Source organism: Homo sapiens, chromosome 13 (genome assembly GCF_000001405.40).
Source record: "Homo sapiens chromosome 13, GRCh38.p14 Primary Assembly".
NCBI classification, from domain to species: Eukaryota; Metazoa; Chordata; class Mammalia; order Primates; family Hominidae; genus Homo; species Homo sapiens.
This window is the reverse complement of record NC_000013.11, coordinates 28,363,140-28,385,529: the sequence shown is the minus strand read 5'-3', so window position 1 is coordinate 28,385,529 and position 22,390 is coordinate 28,363,140. Positions and strand designations below refer to the sequence as shown.

The window sequence follows — 22,390 nt, the reverse complement described above, 5'->3', positions numbered from 1 at the left end:
TGCCTTACAACTTAGGTTACTGACAGTTGAGTAACACAAACACGCCCCCACAAATACATCAATCAAAACTCACACAAAATTATATTAGCCTATCACTACAGCACTATATATTTATATAAAAATCATTACAAGACTATACACAAAATCATGTTTTTGATTTATAGCTTCTAAACTATTATGCAAAATCCTTGAGTTTTAGAAAAGCTCCTCTCAAAAAAAGGAAGGAAACTAGCTAGCTAGGCAAAAGCCTTTGTATTGAAATCTAAAAATACAAAATCTAGTCCTTGATTTCACTGTGTTGTAATAAATTTCAATTTATCGTAGCATCTTATTAAAGTAGAAGCAGCAGGTTAATGATTGAAGAGAAAGTGAACAAATGAAAATGAAACCTAATAGTTGAGTTTTGCTGTTTCTCTGTATATTTTAAATGTTGATATGCATAGACAATACAAGAATAAAGTTGACGAGTAATCACAGCTCCCTTTCTTTCTTCACTAGATCAGGAAGCACCATACCTCCTGCGAAACCTCAGTGATCACACAGTGGCCATCAGCAGTTCCACCACTTTAGACTGTCATGCTAATGGTGTCCCCGAGCCTCAGATCACTTGGTTTAAAAACAACCACAAAATACAACAAGAGCCTGGTAAGAGACTTTTTTTTCTTCCATTTATTATTTCTCATCTTTCATCAGCCCCCCTTTCCCTTAACAGTCCCGTCACCTGCTTCCAGTATGTATAGACCTACTTGCTGATAGAGCCCCAAACACTGGGATCTGGTTCATGCTGATAGCAATGTCCAGTGAGGAATATTTGGGCCAGTTCCTATGCAGACCATATTCCTAACCCATAGAAAGATCCTGCAGAATCTATTCAGCTGGAAGTCTTTAAATAGTGCATTCAGAAAGAAATGAGAAGAGCCATGTAGAAAATGATTCAGTTCACCATGACGGCTGGGAAAGTGAGCAGTTAGTTTCTTGGCTTTGAGGTATTGTAGAACTTGGAACACCTGGCATATGTGAAGTTCAGAAAAGTAGATTTATAATCTCGTTTTCTTTCTTTCTTTTTTTTTTTTTTTTTTTTGAGATGGAGTCTCACTCTGTCAACCAGGCTGGAGTACAGTGACACCATCTTGGCTCACTGCAACCTCCTCCTCCTGGGTTCAAGCTATTCTCCTACCTCAACCATCCAAGTAGCTGGGCAAGTAGTTGGGACTACAGGCATGTGCTGTCACCATGCCAGGCTAATTTTTGTATTTTTAATAGAGACAAGGTTTCACCATGTTGGCCAGGCTGGTCTCAAACTCCTGACCTCAGGTAATCCACCTGCCTTGGCCTCCCAAAGTGCTGGGATTATAGGCGCATGCCACTGCGTCTGGCCAGTTTATAATCTTTTAAATTCATCTACGCAGATGTTAAGGATTTGGTAAAAAGAAAACTTTTTAAATTGTGTTTGATCATACTAGTAAAAAACATAAATCTACACCAGTGGGTATAGGTTTATTTTCTTTCAACAATACATATAGTGCCATGGGATCCGTGGGAAATTGGTTCCAGCACCTTCTGCAGATTCCAAAATGCACTGATGCTCAAGTTCCTTATATAAAATGGTATGACATGGTATTTGCATATAACCTACACATACCTTCCTGCATACTTTAATCATCTCTAGGTTACTTTTTTTGTTTGTTTGTTTGTTTTTTGAGACAGTCTCACTCTGTCACCAGGCTGGAGTGCAGTGGCACGATCTCACTCAGCTCACTGCAGCCTCCACCTCCTGGGTTCAAGCGATTGTCATGCCTCGGCCTCTCAAGTGGCTGGGATTACAGGTGCCCGCCGCCACACCCAGCTAATTTTTTTTTTTTTAAATTGAGACAGAGTCTCGCTCTGTCGCCCAGGCTGGAGTGCAGTGGTGCGCTCTCAGCTCACTGCAAGCTCTACCACCCAGGTCACGCCATTCTCCTGACTCAGCCTCCCGAGTAGCTGGGACTACAGGTGCCCGCCACCACGCCTGGCTAATTTTTTGTATTTTTAGTAGAGATGGGGTTTCATCATGTTGGCCAGGATGGTCTTGATCTCCTGACCTTGTGATCCGCCTGCCTCAGCCTCCCAAAGTGCTGGGATTACAGGCATGAGCCACCACACCCGGCTCTAGGTTACTTTTAATACCTGATACAATACCTACACATCATTTCATGTGAACTCAATGTAGTACTTGGTGCGTGAAAAGTTCTTTGGTTTTTGGAACTTGTGGAATTTTTTTGTTGAATTCACAGATGCAGATCCACATATACAGAAGGCTGACTGTACTTTTTTTTTTTGAGATGGAGTCTCGCTGTGGGCTGACTGTACTCTTAAAAACAACGAGACTTAAACCAATAAGTATAAACACTGTCTATTGCCTGCTTCATAAATCTGTGGTTAAATAAGAGTACAATGAAATTATTTATGATTTTAATTGATATTCATATTTTATTAAAAATAAAATTGCCATTTATTTCCAATATTCCAACAATCTAAATCAAATAAACAGCAATATGGAGTAGTCCTTAAATGTAAGTCCTCTACACAAAATGAAACCTCCATTTGAGTTTGATGCACAGAATGGGGTTGTGGTATAACAACTCCAAATTTTAAGATATCTGCAAATGTCTTAGAGAGACCTTACACTCAGCAGGTTCAAAACCAATCACATCACTTCATTTTTCTCCATAAAGTAGCACCTCCTCTTATACTGACATCAAATATTTAATCATCCAAACTAGAAGGTGATGGTCTCTCCTTTGCCCTCTTCATCTAATCAATCACCAGACTGAGCAGATTACACCTACTAAATACTAAATATTTCTCAAATCCATTCCTTTCTCTGCTTCCCCATTATTCTCTCGGTCCAGACACTCATTACCTAGCCTCTGAACACCTTCAGTGGTCTCCAAACTTGTCTCCCTATCTCTCTTTGCATCTACTTTCAACACAACAGTATAAAATGCAGCTGTGAACATGTCACTTCCCTGCTTCAAGTCTTCCACCGGCTCCAACTCTTCAACCCTAACACACTTCGATGAAGTTCAAGAATCTGACAGAGAATGCCCTCAATATCTAGCCCCTGCCTACTCCTACGACGTTATGCTCAGAGTCGCCTGACTTGAATTTTATAACTTTATATTCCAGCAGTGCCAAACTCTGGTAGATCACTGCAGACATTATGCTGTTTAAACTCCCTATGCTTTCTTTGGTTCCTGTTTACTCTCCGCCTGGAGTACCTTCCCTTCCTTTGTCGCATCCCTTAAGACCCAGATTGGGTGTTCTCTCTCCAACTAGGCCTTACACAACTCCCACAAATAGGAGGCAGATCCTCCGTGAGTCTTTATTACTTATAACTGTTTCTACTTCTCTCTTGCTGAGACTTTTAAAAATCATCAGTTCATGTGTGTCAGTATTACCTATGCATATTTCTACTCCTCTCTTATGTATTTTTTTAAATCACCAGTTCATATATGTCTCCCCTCCAGAGGGCAGATAGATAGTTTATCTTATTTGTCTTATTTATGTCTTGTCTTTTCATCTTCAGAACCTAACACAGTACTTGACAATTAATAAATAAATGTTCCATGAATGAATGAATAAATGGTTTTCAGAAAATCTTAGGCTATCCTTAGCAAACTCATAGTGGTAGCACAAAAGCCTCGATTTGGCATGGGGGTGGGGCCCATATCATGGAAGTTTTAAAGCTCAAGGGACCTTTAGAGTATCTTTAGTCTAACATGTAGAATGGAAAACTTAGGCTCAAAGAGGTAAAGTGATTTGCCTAAGATGACACACTACCAAGATGGGTAGTTTTGTGGAAAGCTAGTCCCTTGAGAGGTTCTCCCAGAATAAAAGGATGAATAAATACATGAATAAATAGCTTGTGAAAGAAATTGGTAAACTGTACTAAGTTTTTTTGTTTTTGTTTTGTTTGTTTGTTTGTTTTTGAGATGGAGTCTTGCTCTGTCGCCCAGGCTGGAGTGCAGTGGCATGATCTTGGCTCACTGCAACCTCCATCTCCTGTGTTCAAGTGATTCTCCTGACTCAGCCTTCTGAGTAGCTGGGATTACAGACATCTGCCACCATGCCTGGTTAATTTTTTGTATTTTTAGTAGAGATGGGGGTTTCACCATGTTGGCCAAGCTGGTCTCAAACTCCTGACCTCAAGTGATCCACCCACCTTGACCTCCCAAATTGCTGGGATTACAGGTGTGACCCACCGCACAGGGCCAACTGTGCTAAGTTCTGTATTCCTCAAACTTACTTGATCACAAAATCCATTTTATGAAAGATTAGTGTAGGATGTTGAGTGATTCTTTGAAAGAAGTAAATGTGAAATAAGTTCAGTTTTTATAATTTGGAAGTGGGTTAAAGAATCAGAGTTAAAATGATTTGGGAAGCTTAGAACCATTATGAGACTAGAGGAGAGACAAGGCAAGAGAATGTGTCTCAGCAGCTACCACATGCAAAAAAAGAGTCCAGTGTGCTGGGGAGATCAGGGCTTGAGTCCTAGCATGGCCCTCATGAGTCATATAAGAATTTGGGCAACTCATTATTCCTTACTCTCGGAGCCCTTTTTCCCCTATTTATAAAATTGGGATAATTCTGACCACACAGGGATATGGTAAGGTTTAAATGAGTTAACGTAAGCTGGCCCATAGTCTTGGCTTGTTCAATGCTGCCTTCTGACCCACCTCATTTATACAGAAATTGTCCAGTGAGTTGGCAGAATTCACTGGAAGGCATCAGAGTTAATTAATAAGCTCAAATGTCAAACAACCCTAAAACAAAATAATACAGATTCTCCCCCCACCACCCCTCCACCACCCAGCTTTCTCTGATCTTCTGAGGGCCAAACCAAAAGAATAATATCTAAAAACAGGTCATATAAAGTCTTACACAAAATATTCTATAAATATCATTCTAGGATGCTACTATTTAGCAATTTAGCACTTATTAAGTTCAGCTATACCAAGTCAGCAATTTTCTTTCTCTCGCTTCCTTTTATTCACTCTGTAAAACCACTATAGCCTTTAGGAAAGGGCTTTCTTAATTTTCTGGAGATAATCTTCCCCATGTATATAGTTTCTGTAAAGTTCCATACGTAATATTCCCATTTCAGGAGCAAATGCAATAGCCAATGCAATATGCTCCATGACGATGACCCTTATGTTTGTATATATGAGTATCTTCAAAACTGCCAACTCTTTTATGACTATTTCTTTTTGTAAACCTATGAATAAAGGTAACCAAAGTGATAATCCCTGATTCGCCAATTGTTGCAAAACTGAAATGGAAGAGTATTAAGATCATGGCCTGCAAAGACTGAAAAGTAGTTTGTTATATACTCAGCCTTTAGCCAGCTTGACTGAGTTTTAAAACCCTGAAAATAAACTGTGTGTCCTTTAGATACTTGAGGTGCACCTTTTAGATGAAGCCTGGCAGCTCAAAAAGGATTGATATAGCAAGAGAATTTTAGTGACCTTGGATCATTGATAGGATCCAGTCCATTATCATTGTTATTTTTTAAATGATGACTTGCTCCCATTCCAAAGAAAATATTAGAGAGGAAGTGAGGCACACACAAGGGCTCAAGCTTTGTACAAGCGCCTATAAAATGCCTACTTGGGGTAGTTGGAGCTTTTTCCTCCCTTATCATTTCCTTTCAGGAAAAAACTGTCAGTGGGGCACAGCCATTCACCAGAAGAAAGGCAGTTTTAAGAAAGTGTTATAAAAGCTGAGTAGTAAATTCTTGAGCCAAAGGGCATCAAGCAGGAATAAAAGGGATCTTAAGCATGCAGGCCCTGGAACGCATGTGAACGGATTGCAAGAGACAATCTTGGCCAGGGCAACCCAAACAAGAAGAGACAGGGCCTTGCACACCACACTGCCTGAGTACCTCGGGGTTGGCATGCTGTCTGCTGCGCGTGCCCAACTCCCAGCACCGCTGTCAGGCTTCTCAGGGCTTCGATTGCTTGGCCCCATCCAGCTCGTTAGCACTAACTTCCTGCTGCGCCCTGACACCACTCTTCCTCACTTTTTCCTTTCTCCTCTTCTCCCTTCGGTCCTCTGGGCCATGGGCTGCCTTCAGTTCTTGCCTGAAAAATTCTCTTTCCTCTCACTACGTTATTCTCCTCCCACTAATGCTTTTTTGTTTTGTTTTGTTTTTTTTGAGATGGAGTCTTGCGCTGTCGCTCAAGCTGGAGTGCAGTGGCACAATCTTGGCTCACTGCAAACTCCGCCTCCCAGGTTCTGGTGCTTCAGCCTCCTGAATAGCTGGGATTGCAGGTGCATGCCACAACGCCAGGCTAATTTTTGCATTTTTAGTAGAAACAGGGTTTCACCATGTTGGCCAGGCTGGTCTTGAACTCCTGACCTCAAGTGATCTGCCTGCCTCAGCCTCCCAAAGTGCTGGGATTACAGGTGAGAGCCAACACGCCCAGCCCCACTAATTCTTGATGTCGTGAAAGATCTTCTCTCACCTTCCAGGGAAGTGATTCTTCCTTTTTTCTGATGTCTAGGTTTATTTACAACTCATGTCATTGAGCACATCACTTCATTGTTCTCTGGTGTTACATGTGTTTATTTTATAATATCTTAATATGTCTTCTCTATTAAACATAGCAATATAAGATTTATTGAGCGTTTACCAGGTACCAAGGCACCGTGTTAAGTGTTTTGGAGATAACTCATTTAATTTTCACAACTATCCTTTGAGGTAGGGACATTATTAGATACATTCCACAGATCTGTTTTACTTAACAAGCACCTGCGAGGTTTCTGCTGCTGCTTTAGAACTTACCTAATGCTAATTTGTTTGCTTTTCATTACAATTCTGTGAGGTTTGCTGAATGATTCTGACCGTTTTACAGACTAATGGATGAGGAAGCTGAGACATAGAGAGGAAAAATAACTGGTCCCAGGTCATAGAGTTAGTGAGTAGCCCTCCAAGGTTCAGACCAGAAGAATTTGACTCTGAAGCCTGCACTCTGCACACTGAACATATGGGCATTTAGCATTGAGCATAACTAAATGTTAGCTCACCTCACTCACAAGAGAACAAATGAGCATCAGTTTTAAATGATATAGTGGGCACCAATAAACATGTATTTAAAACAATGAATATCTGCTCATTCTCAGCCCTTAAAGATTAAGTCTCGGTCAGGCACGCTGGCTCATGCCTGTAATCCCAGCACTTTGGGAGGCTGAGGCAGGCTGATCATGAGGTCAAGAGATCGAGACCATCCTGGCCAACATGGTGAAACCTCGTCTCTACTAAAAATACAAAAATTAGTTGGGCATGGTGGCGCATGCTGATAGCCCCAGCTACTCAGGAGCCTGAGGCAGGAGAATCTCTTGAACCCGGGAGGCGAAGGTTGCAGTGAGCCGAGATCACGCCACTGCACTCCAGCCTGGCAACAGAGCAAGACTCCAACTCAAAAAAAAAAAAAAAAAGATTAAGTCTCTTGAAGACTTCAGTTTATTTAAAGCATGTTTTGAAACATTTTAAAAGCATATTAAAATCACATAAAGCATTTTTTTTAAAAACTAGACATGCCATGTATAAAGGTAAACATTATTCTGAACCCAGATTGGGGGTTACTTTTAAGATATAAGGTAAATTAAAGATTAAGTCTCTTGAAGACTTTGGTTTCTTTAAAGCATGTTTTGAAACATTTTTAAAGCATATTAAAAACACATAAAGCATTTTTAAAAAACTAGACATGTATAAAGTTTAAAATTATTTTGAACTCAGATTGGGTGTTACTTTTAAGTTGTAAAGGTCCAGAATGCATGTCCTATCAGCCTAATACTCATATATTTACTTATTTAACAAATATTTATAAGTCACTGCTTTGTGTCTGGCACTGCGCTAGGCTCTGCAAATACAGCAGTGAACAAGAAAACTGAAATCTGAAGAACCAAAAATCTAGAGTAATTAAGTGATGCATGTATTTACCTGAAATACGCTTCTTCAAGCAACAACCCTGTGTGTCCTGCCTTATTCGCTATTATCGTGTCAATTGGTCTAAAAATGGAATAAGGCAAATTAATAAATGGGCAATCAGAAAAATTCTATGGCTCAATCATGGTATCAAAATATCTTTAATACATTGGATAGCTGAAAAGATACACCCTTTGTGCTTTAATTTTCCTATGTTCATGCTGTGCATACAATAAGTTCTCAATTGTTGTTAGCTGTATATACAGAAAGGAGGAAGAGATAAGGGGAAATTAGTAGGGGCTCCAAATTAGAACTGAGTAAAGAAGCAACTGGGAACTCTTAGAAGGGACTGATGTGGTGCAAAGTGTTGAAAGATGAAGGTAATTTAAGACCTATTTACTTTGAAGAGGCAGGTGAAAAGAGAGTAGACAAGCTGAAGTGAATATAATACAGAGAGCCAGAGATAAGAGAGGAAAATGCAGTGTGAAGGGACTAATACCAAGAAGCACCACACAAGAGTTCAAAGTCAGAGATGAATCCTGTTTGACAGTAGTTGCTTTGAGTATGGTCTGATTCCTAGGGGTACATGGACAGCAAAGCTCCTTTTAGAAACATTTCTTTCTGTTGGGCTAAAAATATTTAAGGTTTGCAAACCAGACTTGGAACAATGGTACAGTGTCACCTTGGAGAACCCTTGACCCTGAGTGTCTTTACTCCCTCTTCAGGCCACCCGCCTAAAGGACTGGCAGCTCTCCAAAATAATCAAAAAGTCTCCTTTCTACCTTACCCTCTTCCCAGGTTCTCCAATGAGGTCGTAAAATATTTCAAGTTATGACATTGCTGAGCAGGTGCTGCAAGAGGGGCTACTGGCAACCCTCTTCACAGTGGCACTGTAAGGAAGTAACATAAGTTGGCCAAGAATATATGGCAGAAGGCCTATCTAGTTTAGGTTTGCACTGACACAGGCACAAACCATCTCACAAGTGATTGTGCTCTGAAAGAGTCATTAAAAGGCTGAAAAAAGTAACAAACCCTCCCTCTCTGGAAATATTTGAGAAAACAGAAGGCAATCTTGATCTTAGATGTTCTTAGTAAAGCCTGCCTGAACCAATAAACCATCATCAAACTATTATTTAAGCTAAATTTTTATGATAGCAAAACATTTTTAGAATATTTTAAGGTTAAAGCAGTAGTATTAGAACAACAAAGAGTTCAGAAAGAGTAAATTCTGTCTTAAACAGACTGAGGGTGGAGCAGGAGAGAATCACTCTAACCCAATGATTAATACTCCTTCTTAAATGAAATCTTCTTGATCACTAGGACTAAGTGTTTATCTAACTGTTAGAGGACATCTTTCCTGTCACACTATATCACTGACACCAAATGTCTGCATCTGTAGGCACCATATTCAGATCCTAGTACCTAAGAGGACAGAATCACCTCTGAATTATCAAGTGATTTGACTAGATCCAGGAAAGATCTTAAGGAACCTTAGAAGAGAGAGAGGAATGAGGCTGTTAATACCCAGGGATGAAAAACTGACCATCTGTCACGCTCAGGCTACTAGAATCAGCAGTTTTGCTTGATTCCTTAATCAAATTCCTTAATGAAATTCAGAAATGTCAAATATCTTTTGCAAAACTTGAGTTGTAGTTGCCTTTTCCTTCTCATGAAATCTATCCTTACGGTACACAATGAATGAAGAACTATTATTGCAGAAAAGAAATGTGAACAAGATATCCAGGGTGTGCGCAGAGCAGTGCCTGTGAGGGTGAGCTGGCTGCTCTACTTAGCACCCCTGAGACCAGAGCTGATCTGCTGGTGTGATTAGCTAAGCAGCTGTTCTCGCTAGCCCTGTCTCTTCAATATGTGTCATTAAGGTCAGGGGCTCTCTACATCCAGATCAAGGAAAACCAAGCTTCACTGCTGATATGCAAGTAGCTCTTCTTCCCTGCCAGGACTATGTTGCAGAATCAAGGCTCAGTTCTTTTCCAAGGATAAAGTTCTTTTAGGAGGTAGAAGAAAGGAGAGTAATGAAGTAAGAGAGGTAGTGGGGTAACAGCATGCGAAAACTAACCTGTTGACATTGCCAAAGTTCAGACCTACAACACTCATCTCAGCCAACAGAGGGAACCTGACTTTAACACAGCCCTATCATGGCAAAAAAAAAAAAATTGAAAATGTTGCTTTATGCGCTTTCTGCAATTCTGCAATTACTTGTTAATGTTTGGCTAGTTCAATGAGATTGAAAAGTACAGTGGTAGAGTTCTATAATTTATATTCAGAAAAGTAAAGTAATCCATGAGTAAAGTTCCATTTTGAATTGGAAAGCAATAGAAGCTATTTATGAAGAATCAGTCAGCCCCAAAGTATCTCTTTTTATTGGCAAGATTCAGGTGATTTAGGTCTTGCACCTACATGCATAGGTATACACACACATACATAGCAATATATCCTATCCTAAAGCTTTGCCTAAAGAAAATTTCCTGGATGCATTTTACAGCATAACATCCTCATCTCTATTCAGCCCAGAAAAGCCTCCTGAAAGCTGCTGGCCACAGTAAGGTCCAACTGAGGGATCATGCATTGGTCAACACAAACATCTATTCGTATGAATAGCAGGGCCCCCTGCTAGTTGTTTAAGTTTAGTGGTGGTGGTAGTGGTGGTGGGGTGTGTGTGTGTTTGTTTGTGTGTGTTAGGTCCTATTAAATTTTTAAATGAAAAATTTAGGACATAAGAAATAGGAGGGCCGGGCACGGTGGCTCACAACTGTAATCTCAGCACTTTGGGAGGCCGAGGTGGGCGGATCACAAGGTCAGGAGATCGAGACCATCCTGGCTAACACGGTGAAACCCTGTCTCTACTAAAAATACAGAAAAAATTAGCTGGGCATGGTAGTGGGCGCCTGTAGTCGCAGCTACTCGGGAGGCTGAGGCAGGAGAATGGCATGAACCTGGGAGGTGGAGGTTGCAGTGAGCCAAGATCGCGCCACTGTACTCCAGCCTGGGCGACAGAGCGAGACTCCATCTCAATAAAAAAAAAAGAAAAGAAATAGGAGAGAACTTGTAAATGTGGGCATCACTTTAGAAAAAGGGTTTTTTTGGGTTTTTTCTTTATATTTTGTTTTGTTTTTTGTTTGTTTTTTGAGACATGGTCTTGCTCTGTTTCCCAGGCTGGAGTGCAGTGACATGATCGTGGCTCACTGCAGCCTCAACCTCCCGGGCTCAGGTGATCCTCTCACCTCAGCCTCCTGCATAGCTGGGACTATAGTCACATGCCACCATACCCAGCTATTTTTTTTTCTTTTGTAGAGATGGTGGTCTTTCTATGTTGCCCAGGCCTCATTTTTTTAAATTGTGGCAAAATGCACATAACATAAATTTTATCATTTTAACCATTTTAAAGTGTACAATTAAGTGGCACTAAGTACATTTACAATGTTGCAAAACCATCACCACTATCTAGTTACAGAACTTTTTCATAACCCCAATCGGAAATCCCATGCCCATTAAAGCTTCTCCTTTTTTGACTATGAATTAACCTCCTCTTTTGATTCTCTCTGTGACCTCTTGCAACACACGGAAATGTACTTTGAACATGGCCAAGATCAGCAGCAAATTTTGTCTGAAGAGCAGTCAATGGCTGGGAAAAAGAAATGGGGCATGAAGAAAAACAAAGAGAAGAGATACAAAGAGATTTGGGGACATCGAGGGGTTAGTGGGGGTGGTAAACTCTCCCAGCAGTCATCCCAGAGATCTCTCAGAGGCTGTACTCTGTCCAAAGACACTAACCCCAAAACTAAGAGCCAGTGCCTGGGCTCTTAGAGTGAGAGGGATCTCAATCCCTAATCAACAAATTCCTCCCTACACTAAAGATTGGATGACTACAGAAGGAAAACTCATACACTCCCTTAAACATGCTTTCATGCTTTCATGTTTTTGCAAAATAATTAGATGGACTTTTTCCATTTTACATGTCTAGAATCTGCATGGAAATCTCTCCTCCCCTCAAGCATAAACTTCAGACAGTTTAATCAGGACCTAAAGTGGCACATACACAGCAATGCAACTGGGGTCACCACTATGCCCAATTCAATTAAGGAAAATATGCAAACAAATATACTCTCAGATAACTAGTCAGTGAACTCAGTCCACGACTCTAAATTGCTGCTGAAAAAAATCAAAGTCAAGAAAGTTCACCTCCCCATTCAAATGATAAACCTGATTTTTATATAATCTCCTGCTACCAAGGAGACTTAAACAATCAAGACTGTATATTAGTTTAAGTAGCCATCTCATACAACTCAGTCATAATTAAACTGAGCATCACTGAGAAACAAAATGAAGTGCAGAAAACATACTCTATATCACGTTCCCTCCCCCACCTCCACACGGTGGGACAGTCTTCTGACTGAATGGGTTTTGATTTGTCCTTTTATTGCCTTAATCTAAAATTGTAAATTGTCATAAAATATAAATCGACTTTTCTTGCCTCAAAAACATTCACTCACTCATTCTAACATAGTCAATATTACAAAGTTTTGCAATGTTTAAGTATTTGAACTCATATAGCTTTTAAACTTTTCATTTAATGGCTCTTTGCCACTGAGAAAGAGGTAAAAAGGGCTACAGTTTCATGTCTTAATGTTTCATTTTTATTTTATTTATTTATTTATTTTTGAGACAGAGTCTCACTCTGTTGCCAAGCTGGAGTGCAGTGGCATGATCTCTGCTCACTGCAAGCTCCGCCTCCTGGGTTCAAGCGATTCTCCTGCCTCAGCCTTCCAAGTAGCTGAGACTACAGGCCCGCACCACCATGCCCAGCTAACTTTTGTATTTTTAGTAGAGACGGGGTTTCACCATGTTGGCCAGGATGGTCTCAATCTCTTGACCTCGTGATCTGCCCACCTTGGCCTCCCAAAGTGCTGGGATTACAGGCATGAGCCACTGCACCCAGCTATATATATATATATATATATATATATATATATATACATTTTATTTAAACGAGGAATATATGAATACATTTCCACTGTACAGAAATAGAGTAAGCTATACAAATTTCCCTTATGGAGAGGTAATACATATTAACTGTTTGATATGTATCTTGTCAATGTTTTTTCCATTTTTTAACCTATACGTGTGCATATGTACAAATGTGGGCTTTAAAAATATATGGCCGGATGCAGTGGCTCATGCCTGTAATCCCCCAGCACTTTGGGAGGCTGAGGCAGGCAGATTGCCTGAGGTCAGGAGTTCAAGACCAGCTTGGCCAACATAGTGAAACTCTATCTCTACTAAAAATACAAAAATTAGCCAGGCATGGTGTCAAGTGCCTGTAGTCTCAGCTACTCAGGAGACTGAGCTAGGAGGATTGCTTGAACCCAGGAGGCAGAGGTTGCAGTGAGCCAAGATGGCTCCACTGCAGTTCAGCTTGGGAAAGAGAGCGAGACTCTGTCTCAAAAAAAAAAAAAAAAAAAAAAATATATATATATATATATATATATATATACACACACACACACACACACACACACACACCAATGATTTATTCATTCAATAGATATTCACTGACAGTCAACCTTGTGACAGGCATATTAGGTGCTGGGAACAAAACAGGGACCTTGAATTTACATTCTAATGGGAAAATACAGGCAACAAATTTAACAAACAAAACTACTGTCATGTCCCCTTATCCACAGGGGACCTGTTCCAAGACCCCAAGAGGATGCCTGACACCTCAGATTATACCAATTGCTGTCCATCAGAACACGCTCTGTTCATGCCTTCTACCCACAAACTTAAATGCCTTTTCAGGTTTCTTTTTCCTTCTTTCCAATTTCATGGATAGAAGGTTCATTCTTACCATAGATCTTAGCCAACCTCAGCATATGATTTTTTTGTTTTCTTATTAAGTTGAGAACTTTCACCTTTTAACTAAAAGGAAGTACTTCACAGCTTCATCACTATTCGTGTGCTTTGGAGCACATTATTGAGGAAAATAAGTGTTCTGTGAACACAAGCACTGTGATACTGGGACCATCTATCTGGTAGGCCAGCCAGCTCCTAAGGGATTCATAGATGGGTAGCAGCTACAGCGTGGAGATGCGTGCGGGACAAAGGGAAGGTTCACATCCTGGGAGGGACAGAGTGAGACAGCGAGAGACTTCATCATGCTTCTCAGAATGGTGTACAATTTAAAACTTATAAATTGTTTATTTATGGAATTTTCCATTTAATATTTTTGCACGTTGGTAAACTAAAACCACAGATACAGGGGGACTACTATATAAGCATATGGTATAAGTTCTGATGGTCATCACTGTTATGATGAAAATAAAATAAGATAATGGATTACAGTGAGTGACTGGTAGTGGGCTTATATGGGAAACCCAGCATTTCCGAGATAAAATTTGAGTTAAGGTCACACCATATGTCATTTTAAGACTTGCTTTTATTACTTGATATATCTTGGAGGTCTTTCTATGTCAAAACGTATTGTTCTACCCCACTCTTTTTAGCAGGCATACACTGTAATATGATTTGTATTCCCATAACTTATGTAACTACTCCTCTATTGAGAGAAAAACACTTTCTTGACTAAGTTCTTATGGAGTGCAATAGTACTGATTTTCCTGTCTTAAAATGGTCATTAGAGTCGCTACTTCATCACACACAAAAAAAGCCCTGTAGGTGACTGGCCATCTTCTTCGGGACTAATGGATCCAACCTTGTGGATAGGCTATGGCCAATCTGAACATAGCACAAGGATTAATTGGGACAGGAGTGTGTGGGTGTGCGCACAAACTTACATGCATGTGTTCACAGTTTACAAATAAACATAGCTGATAGCTAAGGTTATATAGATAATAACCATAGAGTTAGGACCATTTGACACATTTTTAAGTGCCTGAATCATCCTGAAATGCTTTATTAGAACAAGAGCAAAGTTCACAGTGAAAGCGCACAAAGATGCTTTCATTTTAAATATTTAGAAATACGTGTGTTTTTGGCACCGTTTCAAAGGATTCATTTTAACTATAGCCTCTTCAAGGCTTTTAGAAACTATTCTGCTATCATAACTCCATTTTTTTATTATACTTTAAGTTTTAGGGTACATGTGCACACCGTGCAGGTTTGTTACATATGTATACATGTGCCATGTTGGTGTGCTGCACCCATTAACTCGTCATTTAACATTAGGTATATCTCCTAATGCTATCCTTCCCCTCTCCCCCCATCATAACTCTATTTTGTAAGTTAAAGTAGTGAAGGAATAGACATTATCCCAAATGAAAGGACCTTTGTCTATGGTGTTTCCCTTATTCAGAGGTTACAGTGAGAAGAATATTATACAGCTTTTTTTTTTTTCTTTTTGAGACAGGGTCTTGCTCTGTGGCCCAGGCTGGAAGGCAGTGGCGTCACCATGGCTCACTGCAGCCTCCTCCCAACTCTCCCACCTCCCCAAGTAGCTGGAACTACAGGCACATGCCACCATGCCGGGCTAATTTTTTTTATTTTTTATAGAGACAGTAGTCTCACTGTGTTGCCCAGGCTGGTCCTGAACTCCTGGGCTCAAGCTGTCCTCCTGCCTCTACCTCCCAAAGTGTTGGAATTACAGGCATGAGCCACTGCACCCGGCCTATATGGCATTTTTCATCACTGTCCCCAGTCTTATTCTTTTCTAAGTGTTCCTGTTCTTTCTCTGTCTTTTTCATGGCTAAAGCGTAAATCGTCTTATCAGGGCTTACACTGCCATCAAGTCTCCTTTAGACGCTATGTTTTGCAACATTCTCATATTCTCTTCCAGCTTAACATATTATTGCAAGGCTGCTTTTCACTGTGTCTCAAATTATCCCATACGTCAACTTTTTTTCTTTTTTACATTCACAAAGGCTTTGCCATGAGGCTTGATCTTAGGGTGAAATTCTCAATAAAGAAGAAACCACATGGTCACCATTCAGAAGCACTGAAATCACTCATCTTTTTAGTGTCATTTATGGATTAATCGTTTTTCATTTTCCTTTTCTTTTTTGGAGATGGAGTCTCGTTCTGTCATCCATGCTGGAGTACAGTGGCATGATCTTGGCTCACTGCGACCTCCATCTCCTGGGTTCAAGCAATTCTCCTGCCTCAGCCTCGTGAGTAGCTGGGATTACAGGTGCCCACCACCACGCCTGGCTAATTTTTGTAGTTTTAGTAGAGACAGAGTTTCACCATGTTGGCCAGGCTGGTCTTGAATTCCTGACCTCAGGTGATCCGACCCCCTTGGCCTCCCAAAGTGTTGGAACTATAAGCGTGAGCCACCGTGCCTGGCCTTCATTTTCCAATTTTGTCAGCCTTTGCCATTTTACTCAACTTGAATTTATGTTCCTCAGACATAGTTTTCCAAAAATCCAAAGTTTGACTGGATATATAAAATCTCCTTTGTGGAAAGTCAATCTGACATCTTGCCTCTAGCTTTCCTGGGTCACTTTTAGCCATTTCTATATTTTGGCTCTTCTGGTTCTTAGTTCGGACACTGCTCTTAGCTAATCAATTAAAGGCTGCCAATCTAGCCAGGCACAGTGGCTCACACCTGTAATCCCAGCACTTTGGGAGGCTGAGGCTGGTGGATCACCTGAGGTCAGGAGTTGGAGACCAGCCTGGCCAACGTGGTGAAACCCCATCTCAACTAAAAACACAAAAATTAGCCGGGTATGGTGGTGGGCACCTGTAATCCCAGCTACTCAGGAGGCTGAGGCAGAAGAATCGCTTGAACCCGGAAGGTGGAGATTGCAGTGCGCAGAGATTGCACCATTGCACTCCAGCCTGGGCAACAAGAGCAAAACTCTGTCTCAAAAAAAAAAAAAAAAAAGCTGCCAATCTAAAGATATGATTATTTACTGTGTACCTAGAACTGTATACATCAACGTCACCATCGTCATCGTCATCATCACCATTGTCATCATCATCATCATCGTCATCATCATCATCATCATAGCTATCATCATTATCATCATCATCATCATCATCATCATAGCTACCATTTATTGAAAACTATTATGTGTCAACTTCAAAGAACTTATCCTTTAGTTGGAGAGCCAAGACAATCATAACAATAACAAATGGCCGGGCATGGTGGCTCACGCCTGTAATCCCAGCACTTTGGGAGGCCAAGGCAGGTGGATCATTTGAGGTCAGGAGTTCAAGACCAGCCTGACCAAGATGGTGAAATGCTGTCTCTATTAAAAATACAAAATTAGCCAGGCATGGTGGCTCATGCCTGTAATGCCAGCTACTCGGGAGGCTGAGACAGGAGAATCACTTGAACCCAGGAGGCAGAGGTTGCAGGGAGCCGAGATCGTGTACTGCACTCCAGCCTGGGCAACAAGAGCGAAACTCCGTCTCAAAAAACAAATAAATAAATAAATAAATAAACAGACAAAATTCACTTTTTATTCTATTAAACTTAACATACATGCATTAATTGCCTACTCTGAGCCTGATCCTTTATTATATTCTAGAGAAAATGAAAATAAGCAACACATAATCCTCACCTTTGAAAAACAAACATAATAGGTACAAAGTCAGTTCATAAATGTGCAATGTGAGTGGTATAAAATAACATCAGATAAAAATTAGCACTTCTGATGACTAATCAGGGGAGATTTCATGGAGGAGATGTCATCTGAATTGGACTTTGATGAATAAAAAAGAGAGTTTTGATGACGAATATTAGTTTGGCCAAAGTGGATGAATATAATGTTCTCTAAGTCAACAATACATATAGTCAACTGAGCAACAAAACAGAAGTTGCTGGTCAGACTAGTAGGCCCATTTAGGAGAGCAACAAGCCACTTTTGTGTGTGGGGGGGAACAGGAGGCAAACACATGGCCTGCATTTATGTAATCAAATAGGTGAATTCAAAAGCTCTACAGATTTATTTACTCAATGGTGAATTGGATTAAAATTATATTCCATGCTCTTCCCTGGGCAATATGGTGCTCACACATAAAATGCCAAGATTGTCCTTCACCTTAAGGTATAATGGGAAGAAATAAAGCTATCTACAGAGTCCCTTGAAAATTACACCTTTAAAATTGACAGTTGGACATCTTGAAAATTTAGACCACATCCCATGAATAAATTAGGCCATCATGGTCAAAAACTTATCCACATCCTCCATTAGCAACCAACATAATAAGTAATTCAAATCCTCACACTGAGTTTCATCGTCAGATACTTTAGAGGACACCACACGTTTCTACAAAAACAGCCCAGTGTAAAGTTTTACTTGTCCTTTTGGGGCTAATGCTTTAGCAAACGCATAAAACCACCAGAGTTTGCATTCTAAGCTCCAGGAACTGAGGCTTTTTGAACCTTAAGATGACAAAATTAACTGACAGAATTTTATAAATTCTGAGGTGAGCTTGGCATGCTGCAGGTCATCAGTCTATGCTACCACCCAGGGAGTTAGCACTAATAACTAGCTTAGCTTCATCATATTCCGCAAATATTGCAAAGCTCACTCCCCTCCTCCACCCTCTACATGACATTTTCCATTGTCTTCATTTATGTGGTCATTTTCCTCAGTTACTGAAGGTCAGCTGTCTATCGGCCTGCACTAGACACTGGGGACTCAAGAATGAATAAGTTAGAGTTACCATTCTCCAGGAGCCCACAGTGGAGTGGGCAGATAAGAAAGTCAGCAATTTTATGACAAAAAGGTAAGTGCCAGAGTAGGGGCATTCACAGGGTGATGCAGGAGTAACAGAGATGGGGTCCAAGAGCATCAGAAGATGCTTTCCACTGGGCGTGGTGGCTCACGCCTGTAATCCTAGCACTTTAGGAGGCCCAGGCAGGTGGATTACCTGAGGTCAGGAGTTCAAGACCTGCATGGCCAACATGTTGAAACCCCACCACTACTAAAAATACAAAAAATTAGCCGGGCGTGGTGGCAGGCGCCTGTAATCCCAGCTACTCAGGAGGCTGAGGCAAGAGAATCTCTTGAACCCAGGAGGCGGAGGTTGCAGTGAGCCGAGATCGTGCCATTTCACTCCAGCCTGGATAACAAGAGCAAAACTCCATCTCGAAAAAAAAAAAAATGCTTTCCAGAGTAGCTAATCCTGAGCTGAATATTAAAGAACAAGCAAATGTTAACCAGGCATCAAGGGAACCACGTGTGCAGAGTCACTGAGGCTTAGAACAAACTGCAAATAGATTAGCATGGCTCATACCAAAGACACATGTAGGGATGCAGCAGGCAGCAAAGCTGGGAAGATAGGAAGGGGCCAGATCATGAAGGTCCTTGCTTAGTAACAACATAAAAGCTTATCCCCATGTACATACTCTAAGTTACATCAAATATATCTTGCATCCATGTTTTTATTGGCCTTCACAGTAGATCTATATAAGTTGATCTGGTTGCCAACATTTAAGAATCATGAGCTTTAACATTAAAAAAAAAATTCAAATTTCTGCCTTCTTTCTAAAACTCAGAAGACAACACCAGACTCAAATCCCCAAATTCTCAATAGGTTGGAGCTAAGCAAAGGCTTCTGCTTTTAGGTGGGAGACAGGCTTTCTATTCTCCAGAGACATAGTCCCCCTTCCATTATTTTATCCCCAACTCATTTATATTACGTGCCTGGCTCCTGAAGACATCTATGTTTGCAAATGCTACTCTATGCCCTGTTGGTCCATCTGATACAGCTTCTTAGAGTAAAGAGAAATAAATAATGAATTTCCATGGGAATTGTTATGGCTTCAGTGGTTAAAGAATCTGTATTTAGTGTCAGAAGCCAAGGAAATACACAAACAAGCACATGGTAATGACTTAGGCTATCCTTTAGAAGCAAGCAAGCAGGCCTACAATTAAACTATCTCAGAAACACAAAGCAGAGTATCATGTTTATAAGTGAGTTCTGGCTGAGCACGGTGGCTCACGCCTGTAATCCCAGCATTTTGGGAGGCCAAGGTTGGCGAATCACTTGAGGTCAGGAGTTCGAGACCAGCCTGGCCAACATGGTGGAACCCCATCTCTACTAAAAATACAAAAATTAGCCAGGCTTGGTGGTGCACACCTGTAATCCCAGCTACTAGGGAGGCTGAGGCAGGAGAATCCCTTGAGTCCGGGAGCAGAGGTTGCAGTGAGCCGAGATTGCACCACTTCACTCTAGCCTGGGCGACAGAGCAAGACTCCGCCTCAAAAAAAAAAAGGGAGTTCTACATGTTAGTTCTAAAGACTAATACCCAAAAAGGAAAGAGAAAATTCAAATACAGTGACCTCTCAAAGACCTCAATACTATTTTGCATAACAACAAAATTAAAATCTATCTAGGAATAAATATAACTAAAGAAAAGCATGATATTTAAAGAGAAAATCATAAAACTATTAAATGACATAAAAGAAAACCTAAATAACTCAAAGATACTCAATATTCTTCTATAAAAACACTTATTGGTAGAACCATATTGCCATTTTTGTACGTCAAAGTATTGGCAATTCCATATGGTTCCACCTAAAAATAAATATGACCATTTCCCCCAAATTATAATATAATATGAACTCAGTGGAATTCCAATAAACATTCCAATTGTGCTTTTTACAGAATTTGACAAGCAAAATCTGAAGTATAAAGTATTGAAGTATAAAGGGCCAAGAATAGTCAAGACCATTTTGAAAACTATCTGGTGAGGCCATACCAGATATCAAGATGTGTTATCAAGCAATCATAATTTAACTTATGTGGTACAGGGATAGATAAATAGGTCACTGTGAATAAATAAAGAGCCTAGAAACAGAACCACAAATACACAAATACATGGGAGCTTCAACATAAAAAATTCAGATAGTATCTGAACAGAGCTGGCACAACGACTTAGTGGTAAAAGAAGATCTTATTCAATAAATGATGCTGGGATCATTGGCTATTTATATGGTAAAAATTAGGTCCTTACTTCACACCATACACATACCCCTCCCCAAAAGAAAATCTAGGTCAATTAAAAACCTAAATAAGAAAACACAAAATAGTAAATGAATCTCTTAAACAGATTTTATGAAGAAAGTATACTTTCTTTATGATATCAGGGTAGGAAAAGAGTTCTTAAATAACAAAAAGCACAAAAAGTTAATAAAAAATACTGACAAATTTGATTATGTTAAAAAATTTAAAGCTTTGTATTAAAAATTCACCATGGCAGGGACTGTGGCTTACGCCTATAATCCCAACTACTCAGGAGGCTGAGGCTGGAGGATCACTTGAGCCCAAGAGTTCAAGGCTGCAGTGAGCTATGATCTTGCCACTGCAGTCCAGCCTGGGCAATAGAAAGAGACCTCATCTCAATAAATAAGTAAATAAATAAAATAAAAATTTACCATAAGTGAAATTTAAAAGACTGTTCATACAATGAAGGAAGACTTGAAACGTATTAAGCCAACAAAGAATTAGCATCCCAAACATATAAAGAACCCTAAAATCGTTGACAAAAAGACAAATAGGACAACAGAAAAATGGGCAAAGGATAGAAACAGGCAGTTCACACAAAGAGAAACCTGAATGGCCAATAAAAATATTTCACCTAGCTAGTAATCAGGGAAATGTAGATTAAAACCACAGCAAGATACCATTTCACATCAATCATTTTGCCATCAATTAAAAAGCATGAGCTGGGAGCAGTGGTTCACCCCTGTAATCCCAGCACTTTGGGAGACCAAGGCCAGCAGATCGCTTGAGGTCAGGAGTTCAAGACCAGCCAACATGGTGAAACCCTGTCTCTACAAAAATACAAAAATTAGCCAGATGCAGTGGTGGGCGCCTATAATCCCAGCTACTTGGGAGGCTGAGAGAGGAGAATCACTTGAACCCAGGAGGCAAAGGTTGCAGTGAACCGAGATTGCACCACTGCACTCCAGCCTGGGCGACAGCAACACTCCGTCTCAAAAAAAAAAAGGATAAATATAAAAGCATTGCTGAATGGGAAAACAATCAAGTTGAAAAGGATATATAATCTATAATACCTGTTATTTAGAATTTTTAAGCACACAAAATAATATTCTGTATTCTGTACAGATATATACCTATGTAGAAAAAGTACAAAAACATGCATGTGGAAAAAGTACAAAAACATGTACTATGTAGAAAAAGTACAATTTCAGGTACCTCTGGAGAGAGAGGGTAAAGGAAGGGATAAAGTATCTATAAATCTCATTTCATATTAAAGACAGAAATGGGTCTGCCTAAAGCAAATATGGCAAGATGTTGACCTCTGATCATCTTAATGGTAGATACATGAGTTATACTTTTTCTGCACTTTAACATTTTTGAAAGTGCTCACAGTCAAAAAAATTAAAATTAAACTAAAAATAGAACCACTTTAAAAATGTATTTTCCTCAGCAGAACAGAGCCTGTATCCTACGATTTGGGTCATATAA

The 22,390-nt window shown here is 40.1% G+C and overlaps 1 protein-coding gene across 2 annotated transcripts in view; it reads left to right on the top strand.

Annotated features, from left to right (window-relative positions):
* FLT1 (fms related receptor tyrosine kinase 1) overlaps positions 1-22,390 on the top strand; it is a 194,783-nt gene that overhangs the window by 109,599 nt on the left and 62,794 nt on the right. Inside the window, exons 14-15 of one of the 2 annotated variants that reach the window (NM_001160030.2) lie at positions 499-645; positions 16,867-17,438. In NM_001160030.2, coding sequence (NP_001153502.1) covers positions 499-645; positions 16,867-16,952 — 233 coding nt within the window. In that variant the 3' untranslated portion in view covers positions 16,953-17,438. Of the gene's footprint in view, positions 1-498; positions 646-16,866; positions 17,439-22,390 lie in introns of those variants that run through there. The other variant, NM_002019.4, reaches the window with a different exon arrangement.